The sequence below is a fragment of the Homo sapiens genome, chromosome 6 (assembly GCF_000001405.40).
Source record: "Homo sapiens chromosome 6, GRCh38.p14 Primary Assembly".
NCBI lineage: Eukaryota > Metazoa > Chordata > Mammalia > Primates > Hominidae > Homo > Homo sapiens.
Genome location: NC_000006.12, coordinates 95,662,786 through 95,684,522, shown reverse-complemented (window position 1 = coordinate 95,684,522; position 21,737 = coordinate 95,662,786). Strand labels below are relative to the sequence as shown.

The following is a 21,737-nucleotide window of genomic DNA, read 5'->3' as shown; positions in this document are numbered from 1 at the left end:
GTTTTGTGATTAATCTGCCAGAATATTTTAGATGCTGAGAAAATAATGTTTTCTATCAAATTACAAAGTGTTTGCCATAGGTTATTTACTTTGCAACGTTATTCATTTTTTTCCTATTTACATAGTAAAAGCAGACTACGCTCCACAGTTTCATCTGATTAGCTCAAGTTTACAAAATCCATTCTGCCTTAATATTGAATGAGTACTCATTTGTTTTCTTAAGTTTTACTACTTAGATTTAAAATCTATTATCCTAGAATTCTTTTGAGGAGTTATGCAAGAGTATATTTTTTAGGTTTCATATTTTATTGTACTGCCTACATAAAAATGAGCTCCACCTTTTGTATATTCTATAAGAACATAAGATTAGTTTTGTGTGGGTGTGGGTTCTTGACAATATTTTGTCTTTTTTTTCATTTCTTCCTTCACCATTGGTCCATTTTGGATTCTCTACATCTGTTTAAATTAGTCTTCATAATTTGTATTTTGGTAGAAAAATATCTACTTTTAAGAAAATTTTAAATGTATTTATAGAAAATTGAATGTTATTCTCTAATTTTCAAATGTTCTCAGCCATCTCTAATTGTTTTTTTCAGTTAATCCTGTGTATTTTTACTTCTGTTTCCCAGAAGTTTGTCCACATCTTCTTTTTCAAGAAAATCAAATATTTAATTTATCTATTACATTTTTATCTTATTTATTGCTGATTTTATTTTAATAAGTCTTAATTTCATAATATTAGCGTAGGTTATTATTCTTTTTCCTGAGTCAGTTGCTTAGCATATTTTCACTATTTGTCAATTAATAATAATGTAATAAAAGGTACAATTTTCAAAACTTATTTTCTATTAATTATTTTTTTTGTCTACTTCCTGTACTTTGCCCAACTTATTCAAGGAGTTTAGTACACTTTTATCACAAGTGCCTGTCTCAAATCTTAGTCTCTACCTTTAATGATATGATTTGGAATTTTTAACCTAGATATTATTACCTCATTTAACTGGTGGAGAACTTCTTTGGAAATGTTTTAAGTTTTACATTTTGTTTTTTTAACACGATTTAAGCAGAAGTCAATTTTTTCTCTCTCTCTTTCTCTGTCTTTCCCAACTGGTCTCAAGAGTTCTTGCAAGGCTTTGTAAGCTGTAAATTTCTTATGCATAATAATATGCAACTTTCTCTGCATTGAAAAGACGACACATGGAGAGACGCAGAAAGGAATGGAGACACCTGGAGGAGTTCTGTTCCTGGATTCCAGTTGCTTCTGCATCACGTGTCCTTGCTCTTTCTGTAAGTGCATTCATCAATAGTCTGAAATTGTGAGAATCAGTAAATGTTATTTTTTCGAGACCAAGTAGTGTTTATGACACTTGCAATAAAAAAGCTTGAGAAGTACCATTAACATTTTCTTAATGTACACAAACCTTAGAATGCTTTTCAGAAGGCTCACATAAATGCCTTAGCCATATATAATGTCACCACCCAATTTTCTCAAAATTCCATAGATTGTGCCTTGTCTTGCACACAGTTCTGTGGAAGAGAAGTTAACACCAATTCTAGTTGCATTCATTTGGGAAACTATATGTATTTATTTACATGCCCATTTCTTTCTGGAGGAAGTCTATTTTATCCTTGCCTATGTTTCCTGTTGAAGTCATTCTGTATCATCCTTCCAAATAACATTTATTTTTGTGTTGACTTTGCTGTAGCAAAAAAAAAAAAATGGTTCCCAGTCTCAGTAACTTACACAACAAACATTTATATTTTGCTTATGCTGTATGTCACTTATGTTCTCCTTTATATATTTCCTCATTCTGCAATCCAAGCTGTCAGAGCAGCTGCTTTTTAGACTATGTCATTCTTGTGGCAGAAAGAAAAGCAAGAAAGATGATAGAAATATGCAATGCCTCTTAGCAATTCCTCTTGGAAGTAAAATACCATGTTTCCTTTATGGTAGGTCAATTCTCCCTGACAATCACACAGACAAGCCTGCATGACAGTCTCACCGACAGGCCTGCATAGCACTTCAGTTGCACAGACAGATTTCCACAGAACTGCCCTAACATTGAGCAAATAATTAAACCTAGGGAAATCAGTGCCTGGACATCAAAGTTAAAAATGAAACATATGGTCAGTAGGAGCCTTGCATGGGCTTCTCCCTAACCTGGGGAGCAAGCCAAAATAATAGAGATAGTCATATTCCTAGTGCCAGAACCCATCTCGGGTCAACAGAATATGAGACGAGTCAAGGTAACAGAGGCAGCTGTTTGAATAGATTCATTGGAGAGTCTAAGGCAGCTCTCCAGACCAAGCTGTAAAGGAGATAAGATAGAAACAATCACTCCAGTATCACAGTAGACAGGCCTTGAAGGTCCTGGGGCCCATTTAATCAGACTTAGCAAGCACTGTTTGCCTCTGACCTTCTAGCTGAAACAAAATTAGTTACCAATAGACTTAGGTGCATGCTATACTGCACTTAGGCACATAACCCCAACCTATATAAGCACTAAGAAAATTGTAACACTTTGAGTTGGTCTGGTGGAATGATCTCCGGCCTTCTCCCTGTATCCGGTTACAGCAATAAATTCCCTTCTTTCCTAGTTTGTCTGCTTCTCCTTCAGCTGGAACCAGCTTGGTTCCAGGAACACCCTGTCCCAAGTAATCATCTGACCAGGCTTAAAAATACAAAGTGGGTTCTACATTGTAAGTTACCTTGCAGTGGCAGAAATGTATGATCTTCTTACAAGGCAAATGGAAGCAAATGGTTGTAAACAATAATAAAATTGCTACAGTATCATCTATCTTACTGTTGTTTGTCCTCTTGTTTTATCTTCTTCTCTTAGCACATTCATTACTTTGCTCTTTTTTCCTGCATACATGAAAAGCTGGTAAATTGTATCCTTTATTTTCCTGATCCAGCATTCTGTGACATTGATTTTACTCTTACTATCACTAAGGTGGATCTGGTGGTTTTAATTTCCTTGTGGATTGTCTTTTTTCTTATCTACTTTCAGACTTAACTAATTTGTTTCTTCTTCATCCTATTCTATTCCTCTTTTGTAGTGGCCATATATTTTTATAATCTACTTATTTTTCAAAAAGTTACTTAAACTTTTTCAAATCTCCATGTTCTTTTTTCTGTACTTACTCATTGTTAAAAAGGTGAAATTTGTCCATATTTAATAATTTTCACTCCACAGGCTCTTTGTTCTGCATGTATTATTCTCTAGGTTGATTGCTGAATTCTCTTTATAAATCAGTCAGAAAGAAGGTTGATGTAAACATCATAATCCTAAATTTCTGTGATGTATTTACCTTTTTTATTATTTTTTTTGGTTTTGTTTTTTGAGATGGAGTCTTGCTCTGTTGCCCAGGCTGGAGTGCAGTGGTGCGATTTCGGCTCCCTGAAACCTCTGCCTCCTGGGTTCAAGTGATTCTCCTACCTCAGCCTCCCGAGTAGCTGGGACTACAGGCACCTGCCACCATGCCCAGCTAATTTTGGTATTTTTAGTAGAGGTGGGGTTTCACCATGTTGACCAGGCTGATTTCGAGCTCCTGACCTCAAATGATCCACCCACCTTGGCCTCCCAAAGTGCTGGGATTACAGATGTGAGCCACCACACCCAGGCTGCTTTTGTTTATTATTCTTTCATTCTGGTGATCTGCTCTTTTTGCTCCTAAGATCCAGGGTCCCTGTGATTTATTCTCTCTTCCTCCACCTATAGCATCCTGCTTTTGGGGATGACAGCTGTCAGGTTGCACTGTGCCATCACAAATTCTCACTGATATGTGTTGATCATTTGTGTGTGTGTGTGTGTGAATTTGAAATATCTACTTGGCATTAAGAAGACAATGTGGGAGAAGTGAAAGAGGAGACATTGATGATATCTGTAAGGCAAGGGAAACAGTGTTCCTTCTCACAGGCTAGTTTCTTATAGGAAGATAGTTGGAAGAGAATGCAGAACTTCCACCGATGGGTGTACCCTGCATAAGGATAGACAGTGAGGAGCACCAGAAAAATCTGAAACTCAGCCCTTTCTAACAACCAAGTCATCTGCTCTGGCTCAGAGCTTCATCAGCTTTTCTGGATGTTTACAGAAAGGTGAAATATTTGCTAGCAGCAACCCAGTTTTATCTGTTTATGTACTTTATATAGAGTTCTAACTCTATATTCTTTTGTGTTTGGCTTTCTTCTCTCAGTATTTCTGTCACCTTCTGCTCATGGCTATCTCAACTCCCTCCACCGGTATTGTACACATCAATAGACTCCATACATATATGCAGAGAAGTTTCCAGCTCCAGGTAACCATAGATACTCATAACATAGATTTTCAGATAAGAAAATTGCATAACTTAGATTTTCAGATAAGAAAATTTCAGTTACAGAAAACTCAAATAACTTTTCACTGTACTAGTTAGAAAGACCGCTGGGAATTTAAACTCAGAAATCGTTAAGTCTCATTTCCCTATAGACTTTAAACAAACAAACAAAAAAGAAAACAAAAATCTGATTCACCTAACCATTTTGAAAACTTGACAACTAAAGAAAAATATAATTTAACTAGCCACTTTTTCTTTATATAGTTGAATATAACTGGGTCTTTGGATTTTGAGTTTGATTCAATGTAAGTCCCATTACCGGTCTCCCAAAGTCTTCTAACTTCTGAATTGTCAGAAAGAACCCAGGGAAGCAATAAAAATTGTAGCAAGAAACCCTACCTGTGTGACTTCTTGCTAATATGCAGACTACAGTGACTCTAGGCTATACCATTCACTTTGCAGATTTTGAAAAATTATAAAACAATTTGTGAAGAAAAAGGAATTTATCTCTTAATGTATCTGTATATATAGATATAAACATATGTAATAGCATATTTCTGGCCATTTTATAGTATTCCATTTATTTCTCTTAATCTTTTCATTTAGACTTTACAAAAAAATTTAAAATACAAGACAAATCTATTTGATATCCATTCTATAACTTTTCCCCCAGAGGTCAATATCTAATGTAGCCATAAATTTATTCTTTTTGAAAATTGAGACTTTTGTTTACTTCTGAGCATCCCACATTTCTTCCTTCCTGAATAATTAAAATAGTTCTGGTGGTGACTCTGGGATCACATTTGTACACTTCTTCGGTTTCCTAGAATATAATTCTTCAGAATCTGGAAACTTGGATTAATGTGAAGTAACTAGGGACTACTTCATACCACTTTCACGTACTATCTCAGGCAGCAACATCTTCTTTACATTGTTTAACATTTTTTAGTTTGGGGATAATTTTCTTTACTCTAGAAAAGATGCATTGGTTATTCTTCCTTCTATCATTTGTACTAATAATACCATTTTCACCAAACAATATGTCTGCTCGTTTCTTCTTACCTCTTTATAAGTATCTTTAGAAAGCTATGTATTAATTGTCTTCTACAGAAATAGGTTGGTTTTGTGGCATCAAGAAGACATAGGTGTGAATCATAATATTGTTTTATTCATCAGTTTCTGCAAATTTCTTACTTTCTAGAAGCTGTCTTTTCTTCGTTTGTAATTCTAAGAAAAGATAATGTATAACACAAATTTGTAATAAGAACTAAAGGGTCACATAATGTAAATATAAAGCTATTATTATTATTATTATTATTTGAGACAGATCCTTGCTCTGTCACCCAGGCTGGAGTGCAGTGGCACGATCTTGGCTTTCTGCAACCTACGCCTCCCAGGTTAAAGTGATTCTCGTGCCTCAGCCTCCTGAGTAGCTGGGATTACAGGCACACACCACCATACCTGGCTAATTTTTGTGTTTTTAGTAGAGACAGGGCTTCGCCATGTTAGCCAGGCTGGTCTTGAACTCCTGACCTCAGGTGATCCACCCATGTCGGCCACCCAAAATGCTGGGATTACAGGCGTGAGCCACTGCACCCAGTGTAAATATAAAGCTTTAGCACAATGTTTGGCACATACTATACGTAAACATTCTTAATTTCACCAAGAAGTCACAAGTTCAGTTTATACTATGCTTTTGGGGAGTAATGATCATGTGTCTGGACTGATCATGTCTCTACTCTCTGAGAAGCAGTTGTTGAGATAGAGTTAGGTGCAAGGAATTTATTGGCATGGCGGCAGAGCAAAGTGCAGAGGAGACATGCAAAAGAAGCCTTCAGAGCCAGAAAAAAAAGAAAAAGAAAAGGAACGTCTTAGACTAAGATACAGATCTGTCAAAGTCTCTTCTGGCAAAGGGGCTTTGAAGCGAAGTTGCTCATTAGAGAAGACCCACAATGGACAGCCTGACTCTGGTACCTCTGCCACACTCATCGTTGGCTGGGGAAGTCCAAAAAGAGCTCAGTCTTGATTCAGAAGTTAGATGTTGGAGTTAGACACCATCAGCCAACTTCACTCTTTGCAGCCAAAGAGCAAATCTTTCTTAAAGAGAGATCCAAGTGGCACTCCTCATGCTGCCACGTTGGGCTGTAGGGCAAAACTACATTGTTCATACAAACATGACTTCCCCACTTACTAACTGGGGGTTTGTAAGAAAGGTATGGAATCTCTCTGTGCTTCAGCTTCCTTGTCTATAAAGCAAGAAAAATAACAGTAGCTTCCATAGAGTTGTTGTGCAGGTTAAATTAAATAATGTATATAAGGTACTTAGAATAGTAATTGGAACACAACAGAGACTCAATAAACATTTGCTATTATAACTGGCATAGTCTTACATTTTGCCACTGCCATAAATTTATTCTTGCCTTCTTATATCCCTTCTTTCATCTTTTGTGTATATCCTGATAAAGCAAATAACATCAACACTGAGCAAACGTACGGCTTTTTTTTTTTTATTTTTCTCTTTCTCTCATTTCTCATTGTTCACAATTATCAGTCCAGGTAATTGCACTTATTAGTATTTCTGTTAATAATCCTCCTTAGTATAGGTAAGAAGAGAGTCTAAGTGAGATTTTCATGCCATAACCTTGCAGAGTAGATGTATTCATTCCACAGTACGAATAAAATAAGCTTCTTTGAGGGCAAATCATAATCACTATATGCTATATCCTTTGTGGATAAAAGGAGCTATTTTATATCCATCAAAGTTGAAATGAGGTTTAGTTTAGTGGACCAGAAAAATATTACCTGTTTTGACATAAATAGAATAGAACAATTCCAAAGAAATCCAATTTTGAACAGCACTGCATGCAGGGATTACAAAGTTTGAGAAGATCTGAGTGTTCTGAATGCTTCTTGTTGTCTAATGTGCTCTCCTAAGATTAGCCAAGCATATTATGTGAAGATGAACCAGACTTATCTTTGTGCTCTTTCAATTTTCTAACAAATGAAAATTTAATCACGATCTATTATATTCACAGAGTCCCTAATCTATTCCAGTAATCTGAATTATTTTGGGTATATTATTTTGTAAAATGATAGTACTCCTTTACAGCAATCCTAGGGCCACTATTATTATTCATACTTAGAAACAAATCACAGGCTAAAAGCTATGGCTATAGAAAAGAAACTGAATTTTATTCACTAGCTTGTCTGATGACGATTTTTTGTTTTCTAAAATTTCATTTTTTGTCATGTCATAATGACAGCATGACATGTAGAAAAGTAATGAATCTGAGTGCTATCCTCATAATACAGAAATTGTAACTCTTCAAGATATCATATGATATCAAATGATATCATAACAATCAGTTACTCACTAATAAATATTTATTGTCATACTTATTTTGTGGCTAGGCTATTTCTAGATATGATGGTATAGAAATGAACAATTCAAATGTGATTCATTCTCTAGCTTAAAATTTTTCATTATAATTAAAATAAGATTCTTACATTGCCTATGAGGATAAATTAATACTTGAGTCTGTGCCTATGTGTATGAGCTCAAGTCATACTAGATCCTCTGAGCTTACTCTGCTCCAGGCACACTGTTCTACTGCCCTTCTTTTTGTTTCTTGGACAACATCTTAATCTCCTCCTTTGACTCAGACCATTTGCACTAGCTGTTAGGTCTATCTGATATGCCCTTCCCTCAGATATTATGGTTTCTTCTCATCATTCAGATCTCAAGTCAAAGAGTGACCTCACAGAGTCTCTGGCCTAAAATAGTTCCTAGCGCCACTCTCCAATTACCATCTATCCCTTAATACTGACTGTTTCACTTCTTATCCAAATTAATTGCTATTGGAAATTATTTATTTTCAAATATTTATTGCCTTTTTCAAGTGTTCACAGCTTTTCTGATTTTATGACTGCATTTGACAGCCACATCCCACATTTTATTCCCTGCCTCCAGGACCCTGCCATGGCTCTGGGTCACCTTTTTCTTAGTTGATTTATAGCACTAAGTACTCTTTGTATGGTAATGATCTTTGTATTTTACTGTTCCCTAGCACAAATATGTAGGCTACTTGAGAATAGAAACCAAACATTGCCATTCACAGATGTAGCTCCTGGAAAAATACACAGCACACAGTAGCAGTTTCTCAAAAATATTCATTGAGCAAATTAACAAATTCACTAATTTTAAAATTTGTACAATATTGACTACTTAATTACCACATGTTATTCTGACTGTTTCACAGAAGTAAAGAAAAAACCACATATGCTTAATCTACCTTCTCCCTTTTTAAATGAGTGTTACACTCCTACTGTAAAACTATCAGTGCCACATACTGTTTTTCAAGCCACTTTTCAGTTCTGGCATATCAAGTGTTCTACTTTTAGGTCTGCCTATAGAAAGCAAGTAGGAAGAGATACAAAAGTTTTGCATACTATCATTTGAAATTTCTATTCTATTTCACATCATTCTCTTAAATTAATTATAAAGCAAACTTCTGACATTTCATAGAAATGAGCTCATTTACTTATATGGATAAGAGGATGAAAGAAGGTTTATAATAATTTTTACATTATTATTTGTATCTCTGACTTATGTGTACAACCATTTTAATATATACGCCTTCTGTTAACAAAGAGCAGATTGAATTTCTTCCAACAATGATGTAAAATTACCTCCAACATTGAATATAGCTCTTCAATCTTATGAAACCAAATTATTTCTTAATTTCTCAAAGAGAAGATGCATGCTTATTACTTATTACACAAAATTAGATCATTCCTCTGATTCAGAGAGACTTATAAAGTTGATATGGTTTGGCTGTGTCCCCACCCAAATCTCAACTTGAATTGTATCTCCCAAAATTCCCACGTGTTATGGAAGGGACCCAGGGGGAGGTAATAGAATCATGAGGGCCAGTCTTTCCCATGCTATTCTTGTGATAATGAATAACTCTCATGAGCTGTGATGGGTTTATCAGGGATTTCCACTTTTGCTTCTTCCTCATTTTCTTTTGCTGCCACCATTTAAGTGCCTTTTGCCGCCACCATGTAAGTGCCTTTTGCCTCCCGCCATGATTCTAAGGCCTCCCCAGCCATGTGGAACTGTAAGTCCAATTAAACCTCTTTTTCTTCCCAGTCTCAGAAGTGTCTTTATCAGCAGTGTGAAGACAGACTAATACAGGAGTATATTTGGATAAGAATAATAGAACACCTGAAAACATAATTATATGCACAAGACAAAACAAATCTGTTCTTTGATGATGGTTATTTTCATCAGAGTTATATTTCAAAAAAAATTTAAATCTTCAAATACTTATAAGAAAAATAAAATAAAATAGACCATTACTTATAGCTACAACCTATGCCATTTGGGGTAACTTTCCCATATATCAATAGAGTTAGCCAAAATAAAAACATTATTACTTGATTCATTAGCTTAACATTGTACAAAGACATATAATTCAGCCTTTAGATTCAAATGTTCTTCTATGTGTAGTTAAAATATATATTGATAACATGAATTTCAGAAATAAGATTAAATAACCATTAAACTGGGCTAAGTAAAGGCATTGTAGTCTACAATTGCATTAGAATTAGGATCATGATTTTTTAAAAACATTAAACTAGTTCATCATAACATAAAAGGACATGCATTTTTAATTTGGCTCAGGATGTTATTTTTTACAACATATTCTTTACTCAAGAATTATGTTCTCAAGAGCACAGTAAATTTTATGCTCCAGAAAAGATGTGCGTTAGCATTGCTTTTGCTTTCTATTGCTTTTATCAAAGCAGTCCAGGCAAGTGGAACTGAAATTAATGCAAGAGAGAAAAATCAGCATCATTCAATGAAAATTTTCATGCAACACGGTCTGTGGTGTTTTTCTAGCAATCTAGGGTGAAATGGACAGTGTTTTCCATTTTAACTGTTCTTTCAATATTGGCCTTTGATACTACATGAAGAGATACACTCTAGTGACTGACAATCAGAGTTGCCCAAATATTAGTAGCAACTTGTGTTTATATTTCACAGTGGTAGCACCGTGTGTTTATATGTCAAAAAGTTTTTTACATACTGAGGTAGTCTGAGATTTTTATGGAAATTCCTCCAATACAGAAAATGATGTGCAAACCATAATGTCAATTGGTCATGTGCAATCACTTAACTTGGACAGTGCTATTTTACAAGGAGGATGGACTCAAGGGCATACTGGGAAGAGGAGGGAATGATCTAGAAAAAAAAAGGACAGGATGGATACAGCTGTAGAATGCTACAATGAACAAAAAAATTAAAAAATGGTACATGGGCTAGACTATATCTAAGTCAGAGTCCTACAACAAATACAGGCTCACTTCTTATTGCTTTCCTCATTTTCCTTATATTTATTTGTCATAATAAATCTGTGTTTTTTTGGCATCATTTTATTCTTTTAATTTTTTAAAACTAGTACAAGCATTAGTTCCAGCAAGAGGCTCTTTGGCTTCCTGACTTCACAAGAGCAAAGATAGTCTTTTAGGACTGAAAATAATGACTTCTGGGATGTCTTACATTGACAATTTCAATATTAAATTAGTTAAAACAAACAAAAAAAACCATGGCAGAAATGTTAGTTTAGGAGCAAGTGAGAGCATAGAATAAATGAGACAACACCTCTCTCAACACAAGCATGATGCAAGTTGTCAAGAGGACAGGGAGGATGCAGCCAGGCTCTGCTACCACAGTGAGGGAATTTCCCTCCTATAATGCACCCCAGGAGATATCATTAGTATATAAGACTTCTAAAGGTTCATAATTATGAGAAGAGTCCTTTTAGAAAACAAAACAAAAACAAATTAACAAACAAAACAATTAGCCACATTATAATTATGATGCTTTTTCTATGCTATGTTTGTATTTTGAAGATATCTCTGTGACATACACATTTGTCCTATGGTGAGCTCAGTTCAGCTGATGTGTCAGTTCATGGTCTAAAAATTCAAGTCTATCTGATGGGTGAAGTACGACCATAATTAAAGCAGCATGAGAGATGAAAATTGAGCCTATATTAAAACTGATTATCTTTACCCTTCTACAACCCATGCTCTAGGTTTTCATGTAATTTTCAAGTACATAAGGATATTAAAGTCAGATCATAAAACTAGTAAGTTATGAAGCCAGAAATTTGCATCTATAACTGTGACTCTTAAAGTTTTTCCCTTTATATTACCTCATGTCTTACTATTAGAACCAAGTGCTTAGCATTTGGGGGGTACATGGACCCCCTAAAGTAAGTAGTAAAATTGCACTTCCTGGAAAAATTCACATGCTTTTTATTCCTGAAAATATGCCATGCAATGTAAGAGGTTCACAATTACCTATATAGTAAGAGTAATAATTGGTTCAAAATGAGAGCCTCTTATGAGGGGTCAAAACGAAGGCTTTATTTACTTTTCTGGAGACCATATATATATATATTTTGAGACGGAGTCTTTCTCTGTCACCCAGGCTAGAGTGCAGTGGTACAATCTCGCCTCACTGCAACCTCCACCTCCTGGGTTCAAGCAATTCTCCTGACTCAGCCTCCTGAGTAGCTGGGATTACAGGTATGTGCCACCATGCCCAGCTAATTTTTGTATTTTTAGTAGAAACAGGGTTTCACCATGTTGGTTAGGCTGGTTTCGAACTCCTGATCTCATGATCCTCCCACCTCGGCCTCCCAAAGTGCTGGGATTACAGGCATGAGCCACCACTCCCAGCCAGGAGGCCACAAATTTTTTTTAATTATGTTGCATTCACAAAAGAAAAGGAAGATTAATAAGGCTTATCTTAAGGGACATATTATATTATAAACTAAAGGTCAACAAGAGAACAGTAAGAGCAATCATTGTGGTCTTTTGTGACTAGAACAGAAATTTAAGTTTAATATACCTTCTCCCTTCAAAGGCCTGCATTTTAAAATAATCATTGTCTGTTCAGCCAATATGATAATATTTTGCTTTACTACTTACATTACTGATATTTTAGTGTTCTCTTTTTCTGTTGTTTTCCTTTAGAAACAGTAATGTCAAAAGAATGATGTGTTTGGATGATACAATGTATGTGATTGAGAAGCTTTAAAATAACGTAATTTAAAACACAAAATGGAACAGTAATTTTCATATTCGTTACAGCTTCATGTTAATACAATTCTACCCTAGATTTCTGGATCTAGAATGCTCAACGTTTGATTCTATGGGCATAATCTCAAATCACCAAAGCCTTGGATACTTTCCTATTTTATATTATTTCAGCTTTTTTTTAAATTCAATAATGTGATTATTGAACCAACTAGGAGAAAAGCACAAATAAACCATCTTTTAAAACAAAATTCTGTAAGTCTGTAAAATCCACCATGCTATACGTCAGCTTTCAGAAGCCATCAAGTACGCTAAAATCAGATTGTTTTGATCTAAGCTACAGTATTTCTACCCTTAAGAAATACAGGAATCTACTTTTCTGCCAAGTAGTGAATCTCCTTTTCTGCCAAAGAGTGATCTCCCTCCCATCTCACGTAGCAGTCGCGGAACTAAGTGTCACGTTAATGTGGGAGTGTGCACCTTCTCTTGGAAACAGTAAAAGTTACAGAGTTTTCCTGAGCACAGGTGGGGCAGTAGTAAGAACAAGCAGAAAGTGAGGAAATTTGGAAGGCTCATGAGACTCAATGATAAATGCATAAAATTACTTTGTAAATTGTAAATTATTATTGCCATATTAAATTTTCCATTTTCTTATTGCTATTGCTATTACTACTATCACGGCTACTACAGTTAATATTGAGGTTCCATAGACCGTGAATCTGAAAAGTCCTATTTGTTCATGAGAAAAGGTGTAGTACTGTGTCCGGAATTGGTGGGTTCTTGGTATCACTGAGTTAAAGAAGGAAGCCGCAGACCCTCCAGGAGAGTGTTAACAGTTCTTAAAGGCGGCACGTCCCGAGTTTGTTCCTTCTGATGTTCGGATGTGTTCGAAGTTTCTTCCTTCTGATGGGTTCTTGGTCTGGCTAGCTCAGGAGTGAAGCTGCAGACCTTCGTGGTGAGTGTTACAGCTCATAAAGGCAGTGCGGACCCAAAGAGTGAGCAGCAGCAAGATTTATTACAAACAGCGAAAGAACAAAGCTTCCACACTGCGGAAGGGGATCCCAGTGAGTTGCCACTGCTGGCTCCTGCAGCCTGCTTTTATTCCCTTATCTGTCCCCACCCACACCCTCCTGATCGGCCCATTTTACAGAGAGCTGATTGGTCTGTTTTACAGAGAGCTGATTGGTCCATTTTGACAGGGTGCTGATTGGTGCCTTTACAATCCCTGAGCTAGACACAAAAGTTCTCCAAGTCCCCACTAAGATTAGCTAGACACAGAGCACTGATTGGTGCATTTACAAACCTTGAGCTAGACACAGCATGCTGATTGGTGTATTTATAAACCTTGAGCTAGACACAGAGTGCTGACTGGTGTATTTACAATCCCTTAGCTAGACATAAAGGTTCTCCAAGTCCCCACCTTATTAGCCAGATACAGAGTGCTGATTGGTGCATTCACAAACCTTGAGCTAGACACAGAGTGCTGATTGGTGCATTTACAAACCTTGAGGCAGACACAGAGTGCTGAGTGGTGTATCTACAATCCCTTAGCTAGACATAAAAGTTCTCCAAGTCCCCACTAGACTCAGGAGCCCAGCTGGCTTCACCTAGTGGATCCTGCACCATGGCCCAGGCGGAGCTGCCCACCAGTCCCGTGCCCTGAGCCCACACTCCTCAGCCCTTGGGCCGTCGATGGGACCGGGCACCGTGGAGCAGGGGGTGGCGCTAGTCGGGGAGGCTCCGGCCGAGCAGGAGCCCATGGGGTCGGGGAGGAGTCTCAGGTATGGCAGGCTGCAGGTCCAGAGCCCAGCCCCACAGGGAGGCAGCTGAGGCCCCACGAGAATTCCAGCACAGTACCGGCAGGCAGGCACTGCTGGGGAACCCAGTGCACCCTCCACAGCTGCTGGTCTGGGTGCTAAGCTCCTCACTGCCCAGGGCTGGGGGCGTTGGATGGCTGCTCTGAGTGCCCGCTGCTGAGCCCACGCCCACTCGGAACTCGGCGCTGGCCCGCAAGCACCGTGCGCAGCCCTGGTTCCCGCCCGCGCCTCTCTGTCCACACCTCCCCACAAGCTGAGGGAGCCGGCTCCGGCCTCGGCCAGCCCAGAGAGGGGCTCCCACAGTGCAGCGGCCGGCTGTTAAGGGCTCCTCAAGCACAGCCAGAGTGGGCGCCAAGTCCAAGAAGGTGCCAAGAGCAAGCGAGGGCCGCCAGCACATTGTCACCTCTCAGTACCATGGATTGATAATAGGTTTCATGTCAAAGAGATTAATGTTTGAATTTAGGCTCTGCATTCAATATCTATGTAACTTGAGGCAAATTATTTAATTATCTGAGCCTCAGGTTTCTCATCTGTAAAGTGTGAATAAAAATTGTATCTGAGTAATTCCATTTCTGGGCATGATGGAATTACTGGTACCAAATTATTCTTCCTACAAACAACAACAACAAAAACAACAAAAACCCCCAAAAAGCTAGATAAATGGAAAACATTTATGAAGCAACTGTGTTCAGATGTTAGACAATAGATTGAGGTGGAATATTTGCCCATAAAGAAAGTAGCAAATATACGTATAATTGTGCCGGCTTTCTGCCTGGATGCACATTGCTGAGTAGAAAATAAGGAGAAGAAACACATATAAGGATGGCATTCTTGCTCAGTTAGTGACTCAGCAATCAGAGATCAGGGAAGCTAAGGTAGCTGAAGTGTACAGGGCAGAATTGAAGGGGTCAAACACAGAGAGAGACCACCAGAATTTGCGGAGAGGATTATCACTGAGCATTTAACCATAAAGCTGTCACATGTGATAAGACTCTAAGAGGCCTTGAAAACAATTATCATGGAGGTAGGAAAGCTTCCTTGAAATATTAACAAAAATTCTCACAGCTTAAAGGAGGGTGAGGCTCAGGCTTCTAATACTAGCAACTGAAAAGGCTGAAGTAGGACTACTTGAGGCCAGGGATTTTAGACCAGTCAAAGCAATATGGAAAGACCTCTTCTCTACAAAAAATTAAAAGATTAGCCAAGTGTGAGGGTTTGCACCTGTATTCCCAGCTACTTGGGAGAGTGAGGTGGGAGGATCACTCTTGAACCAGGAGGATCTCTGGGGCATTTTTGATAATGGAGTCTTTACTAAATTCATTCTTTCAGTTACTACATTCTCGAGTGTTTCCCAGGTCTAAAATAATTCAAAGTGGAAATAAGAATAAAGGAACTATAGACAACAGCTTTACAAATCTTATAATCTGGGAAGAGATAAATGAGAAACACAATTTCTATTTGTTCACATAACAGGATTTTATGAGATCCAAAAGACATAGAAAATTATAAAACAAGTGAAGGTATGCTAATTTTTTGAGAAAAATTAAGCAAACTGAAATTGGAATAAATCAGTGCAGATTTCTTACTGAGTTTAACAGTTGAGTAAGACTCTGAAAAATGAAGATGATTTCAAATGGCTGCATTCTCGATAGCAGGAACAGCAGTGAGAAGAAGGGAATGGTTGGAGAGTAGTTTTATTGAAAAAACAGTAAACAAGTTTAGAGGAAGCACTGGATAAGGCTAGGCTAGTAGGAGTAAATTGGGTTGTGAAGAAAGGTTAAGGCCAAAGAGTGACAAATCTCGACTAGCATGCTGAATCTGTATCTATCCTATCAATGACGATGAAGGGACATAACGAAATCAGTACTTTAGGGGATGAATCTGGGAGCCATACCAATAGAAACTTGGTATCTAAAGGAAATGGTGGATATTATAGTAAATCAAGTGAGAGACAAACACTATTGGTCATCCGTCTATCCATTCATTCACTTACACAACATTTATTATCTTCTTTATGTCATGCATAATGGCCAGCATTAGGAGATATGCAATTAAAAAAAGCAACTAAAAATGGAACTTTGGCTTTCCCAAATTTACTTTCTGCCAGGAAATAATGACATTAACCAAATAATTGCAAGTATGATGAGTTTCATAAATTAAAGAAACAAAGGATTCTCTGGAAGTCACAATCAGTGAAAGAGATTATGATCCTTATATTCTCCACTTCTCACCATGAATGGGCCTTCTGCTAGACCCCAAAAAAGATAAACAGAAGAAAGAGAAAAGAGAAATCATTCTTTAGTACTAGCTGGAATTTGGCCGCAATCTCCCATATAAGACTATTTTATACTAGATAGACTTTATGCAACCTAGACCATATCCCTTCTCTTCATGAACTCCCTCTTGTTCATTTCTATTTTGCTTTTTATTTTTTTTTTGTTTTGTTTTGTTTTTCTTTTTTGTTTTTCTTTTTTTTTTTTTTATTATACTTTAAGTTTCAGGGTACATGTGCACATTGTGCAGGTTAGTTACATATGTATACATGTGCCATGCTGGTGCGCTGCACCCACTAACTTGTCATCTAGCATTAGGTATATCTCCCAATGCTATCCCTCCCCCCTCCCCCCACCCCACCACAGTCCCCAGAGTGTGATATTCCCCTTCCTGTGTCCATGTGATCTCATTGTTCAATTCCCACCTATGAGTGAGAATATGCGGTGTTTGGTTTTTTGTTCTTGCAATAGTTTACTGAGAATGATGATTTCCAATTTCATCCATGTCGCTACAAAGGACATGAACTCATCCTTTTTTATGGCTGCATAGTATTCCATGGTGTATATGTGCCACATTTTCTTAATCTAGTCTATCATTGTTGGACATTTGGGTTGGTTCCAAGTCTTTGCTATTGTGAATAATGCCGCAATAAACATACGTGTGCATGTGTCTTTATAGCAGCATGATTTATAGTCATTTGGGTATATACCCAGTAATGGGATGGCTGGGTCAAATGGTATTTCCAGTTCTAGATCCCTGAGGAATCGCCACACTGACTTCCACAATGATTGAACTAGTTTACAGTCCCACCAACAGTGTAAAAGTGTTCCTATTTCTCCACATCCTCTCCAGCACCTGTTGTTTCCTGACTTTTTAATGATCGCCATTCTAACTGGTGTGAGATGGTATCTCATTGTGGTTTTGATTTGCATTTCTCTGATGGCCAGTGATGATGAGCATTTTTTCATGTGTTTTTTGGCTGCATAAATGTCTTCTTTTGAGAAGTGTCTGTTCATGTCCTTCGCCCACTTTTTGATGGGGTTGTTTGTTTTTTTCTTGTAAATTTGTTTGAGTTCATTGTAGATTCTGGATATTAGCCCTTTGTCAGATGAGTAGGTTGCGAAAATTTTCTCCCATTTTGTAGGTTGCTTGTTCACTCTGATGGTAGTTTCTTTTGCTGTGCAGAAGCTCTTTAGTTTAATTAGATCCCATTTGTCAATTTTGTCTTTTGTTGCCATTGCTTTTGGTGTTTTGGACATGAAGTACTTGCCCATGCCTATGTCCTGAATGGTAATGCCTAGGTTTTCTTCTAGGGTTTTTATGGTTTTAGGTCTAATGTTTAAATCTTTAATCCATCTTGAATTGATTTTTGTATAAGGTGTAAGGAAGGGATCCAGTTTCAGCTTTCTACATATGGCTAGCCAGTTATCCCAGCACCATTTATTAAATAGGGAATCCTTTCCCCATTGCTTGTTTTTCTCAGGTTTGTCAAAGATCAGATAGTTGTAGATATGTGGCATTATTTCTGAGGGCTCTGTTCTGTTCCATTGATCTATATCTCTGTTTTGGTACCAGTACCATGCTGTTTTGGTTACTGTAGCCTTGTAGTATAGTTTGAAGTCAGGTAGTGTGATGCCTCCAGCTTTGTTCTTTTGGCTTAGGATTGACTTGGCGATGCGGGCTCTTTTTTGGTTCCATATGAACTTTAAAGTAGTTTTTTCCAATTCTGTGAAGAAAATCATTGGTAGCTTGATGGGGATGGCATTGAATCTGTAAATTACCTTGGGCAGTATGGCCATTTTCACGATATTGATTCTTCCTACCCATGAGCTTGGAATTTTCTTCCATTTGTTTGTATCCTCTTTTATTTCCTTGAGCAGTATGAAGAGGAACTGGTACCATTCCTTCTGAAACTATTCCAATCAATAGAAAAAGAGGGAATCCTCCCTAACTCATTTTATGAGGCCAGCATCATTCTGATACCAAAGCCGGGCAGAGACACAACCAAAAAAGAGAATTTTAGACCAATATCCTTGATGAACATTGATGCAAAAATCCTCAATAAAATACTGGCAAAACGAATCCAGCAGCACATCAAAAAGCTTATCCACCATGATCAAGTGGGCTTCATCCCTGGGATGCAAGGCTGGTTCAATATACGCAAATCAATAAATGTAATCCAGCATATAAACAGAGCCAAAGACAAAAACCACATGATTATCTCAATAGATGCAGAAAAACCTTTGACAAAATTCAACAACCCTTCATGCTAAAAACTCTCAATAAATTAGGTATTGATGGGACGTATTTCAAAATAATAAGAGCTATCTATGACAAACCCACAGCCAATATCATACTGAATGGGCAAAAACTGGAAGCATTCCCTTTGAAAACTGGCACAAGACAGGGATGACCTCTCTCACCACTCCTATTCAACATAGTGTTGGAAGTTCTGGCCAGGGCAATTAGGCAGGAGAAGGAAATAAAGGGTATTCAATTAGGAAAAGAGGAAGTCAAATTGTCCCTGTTTGCAGACGACATGATTGTATATCTAGAAAACCCCATTGTCTCAGCCCAAAATCTCCTTAAGCTGATAAGCAACTTCAGCAAAGTCTCAGGATACAAAATCAATGTACAAAAATCACAAGCATTCTTATACACCAATAACAGACAAACAGAGAGCCAAATCATGAGTGAACTCCCATTCACAATTGCTTCAAAGAGAATAAAATACCTAGGAATCCAACTTACAAGGGATGTGAAGGACCTCTTCAAGGAGATCTATTTTGCTTTTTAAAGTTTGGTGTGAGAGTGAGGGTAAGTTTTACTAAAAAGGAATCAGAGATATTACCTCAAAACACAAAAAAAGAAAAGAGGGAATGAGGAAGGAAGAGAGAGACAGAAGCAAGGACAAAAGGAGGAGGAAAGAGAATAAACAAAAATAGGATAAACACACAAACAAATCCAGAGAGAAAAGGACAAATTTTGTAACAGCAAGAGTTTTGAATCATTTTTATACTCACCACAAAAGCTCTTATTCCTCAGCATCATGGCCTCAAAATGTTCTTCACTGTGACGCCTATGAGGCTTTCTTTCCTCGAAAGGGGAAAAAGAGAATTTAAATACTGTTAGAGTTCAAAATTTTCCATTAGTAAGTATAACCAGAACTCTAGCAACAGCAACATGGAGAAAGAAGGAAAGGGACTGAGAGATACTGTAGATGGATAAACTAAAGACTGGAGTTTCCAGGGTAGAACATAGAACAAGGAATGAGTACAATAGAAAGGATACAAAAAGTATGTAATGACTTGAATGTGTAGAGATATGTCTAATTTTGCATATGCTGAATTGGAAGTACTGGTATAGTACTGTATTAGGCTGTTCTTCTGCTGCTATAAAGAAGTACCTAAGACTGGGTAATTTTTTAATAAAAAGAGGTTTAATTGGCTCACAGTTCTGCAGGCTTTACAGAAAGCATGGCACTGTTATCTGCTTGGCTTCTGGGGAGGCCTCATGAAGATTGTAATCATGGCAAAGGCAAAAGGGGAGCAGGTGTCTCCCATGGTAGAGCAGGACCAAGAGAGAGTGTGGGAGAGGTACCACACACTTTTAAATGGCCAGATCTTGTGAGAACTCACTCAATACGGTGAGGACAGCACTAAGACATGAGGGATCTACCCCCATGACAAAAAAACCTCCCACCAGGCCCCACCTCCAACACTGGGGATTACATCTCAACATGAGATCTGGAGGGGACAAACATTCCAACGATATCAAGTACCAAGTTGGAATTGTACAGTTGATGTTAGAAAAAATGTGGCATATATTTTATGTGAGCTGTTAGAATTGAATATATGGATTTTAAAGTCATTTGCTTTGAGGTGGTTATAGACACCTTGGAAAGTAATCAGTGAAGGGGTTGACATTATGGGAGTAAAAGAAAGCTTGAAATAAAATTCAGAAGTAAATTTGACATGCAAATAAGTAAAATCAAAGCTGAGCCAGCCAACATAGAGGAAGGGTGGTAAGAGAGAAGTAAGGAAGAAAAGTATTTCAAGAAAGGCATAATGAAAAATATCTACAGTTGCTTATAAACAGAACAAGGAGAAAGAAACTAAAAACATAAAACATGTGCTATGAAATTCATACGCAAAATCCTGTATTAATGTGGTATGGATAGAAGACAGAATGTAACGGGTTTAGGATTGGGTGAGCGAATGGGAGATGAAGACATATATGTAGTAATTTGAAGGGATGACAAGATTGAAAGGATTAGTTTTTTCTTCTCAAGTGCAAAGATCTAAGCATTTTCAGTTGAAACAGTGTTGATGATACAAGACAAAATAGATATAGCTGATGGAAAATTTTGTGACGGAGGTTGAAAGGAGTTGGATTAAGAAGGAAAGAGGAAAGGGAGACTTAGCTAGCAGGATTTATTTTAAGTGTAGAGAGGAAAAATTGAATAAGCTCTTACCAGTTAGTTTGAGCCTTCATATTAAAGTAGGTCGCAAAGCCATCTTCAAAAAATGAAAAGCAGTGAAGCTCTGGCTTAGTGGTAAAGCAAGTGAATGAGAACAGTAATAATATAGGGAGGATTTAAAAGAAGTATGTAAAAGTAATGATGGTGGTAATAGGTTTAGTAGAAAGGAATGAGTGGGAGGTTGAAAACAGGGAAATTGTATTCAGAGAAGTGTTTGGTGGAATGCTGGAGAAATAACAGACGAAATAATGTTAACATTGTAGGTTTCAAGGTTTTGGTAAATACAGAAAAGTAGTTAAATTTAATTACTTTGGGGTAGAAAGGGTGGTAAGATCAGGCAACTGACATTTACAACAGGAATCACCTATTTATTTACATAGTTTTTTTCTGCCTTTCTTAGTGCTCCTGCTCATGTAATAAGTCTTATCAGGAACTAAGTAGTTATTTTAATTCTGTAAAAATGCTTCATCATTGAATTATTTGAATGGTTTTCATTATAAACTTTTGATGCAAATTCTAATAGGCTGAATATATACAGCCTTAGGAAAGTTAATTTGTTTTTAAAAAAATCCCTTAATAGCTACTTAAAAAACTAAAAAAGAAAGATAAGAAAGGATTAAAGTTGATATATCTTATGGCTCAGAAAATGCAAAGCTAACTGAAAATATGAAAGGCCTTAACACATGAAAATTTTGTAATAAAAATAAATTATCTTCGTGAATATGCATTCAGAAGGT

The 21,737-nt window shown here is 37.2% G+C and overlaps 1 long non-coding RNA gene across 1 annotated transcript; it reads right to left on the bottom strand.

The window, feature by feature from the left end:
* Nucleotides 1-894: 894 nt before the first annotated feature.
* LOC107986543 (uncharacterized) lies at nt 895-21,067 on the bottom strand. Its single transcript, XR_001743886.1, has 3 exons — nt 20,995-21,067; nt 19,544-19,616; nt 895-1,308 (listed from the first exon to the last, which is right to left on the bottom strand). It is a non-coding gene; the product is annotated as an uncharacterized LOC107986543 (long non-coding RNA).
* Nucleotides 21,068-21,737: the final 670 nt, after the last annotated feature.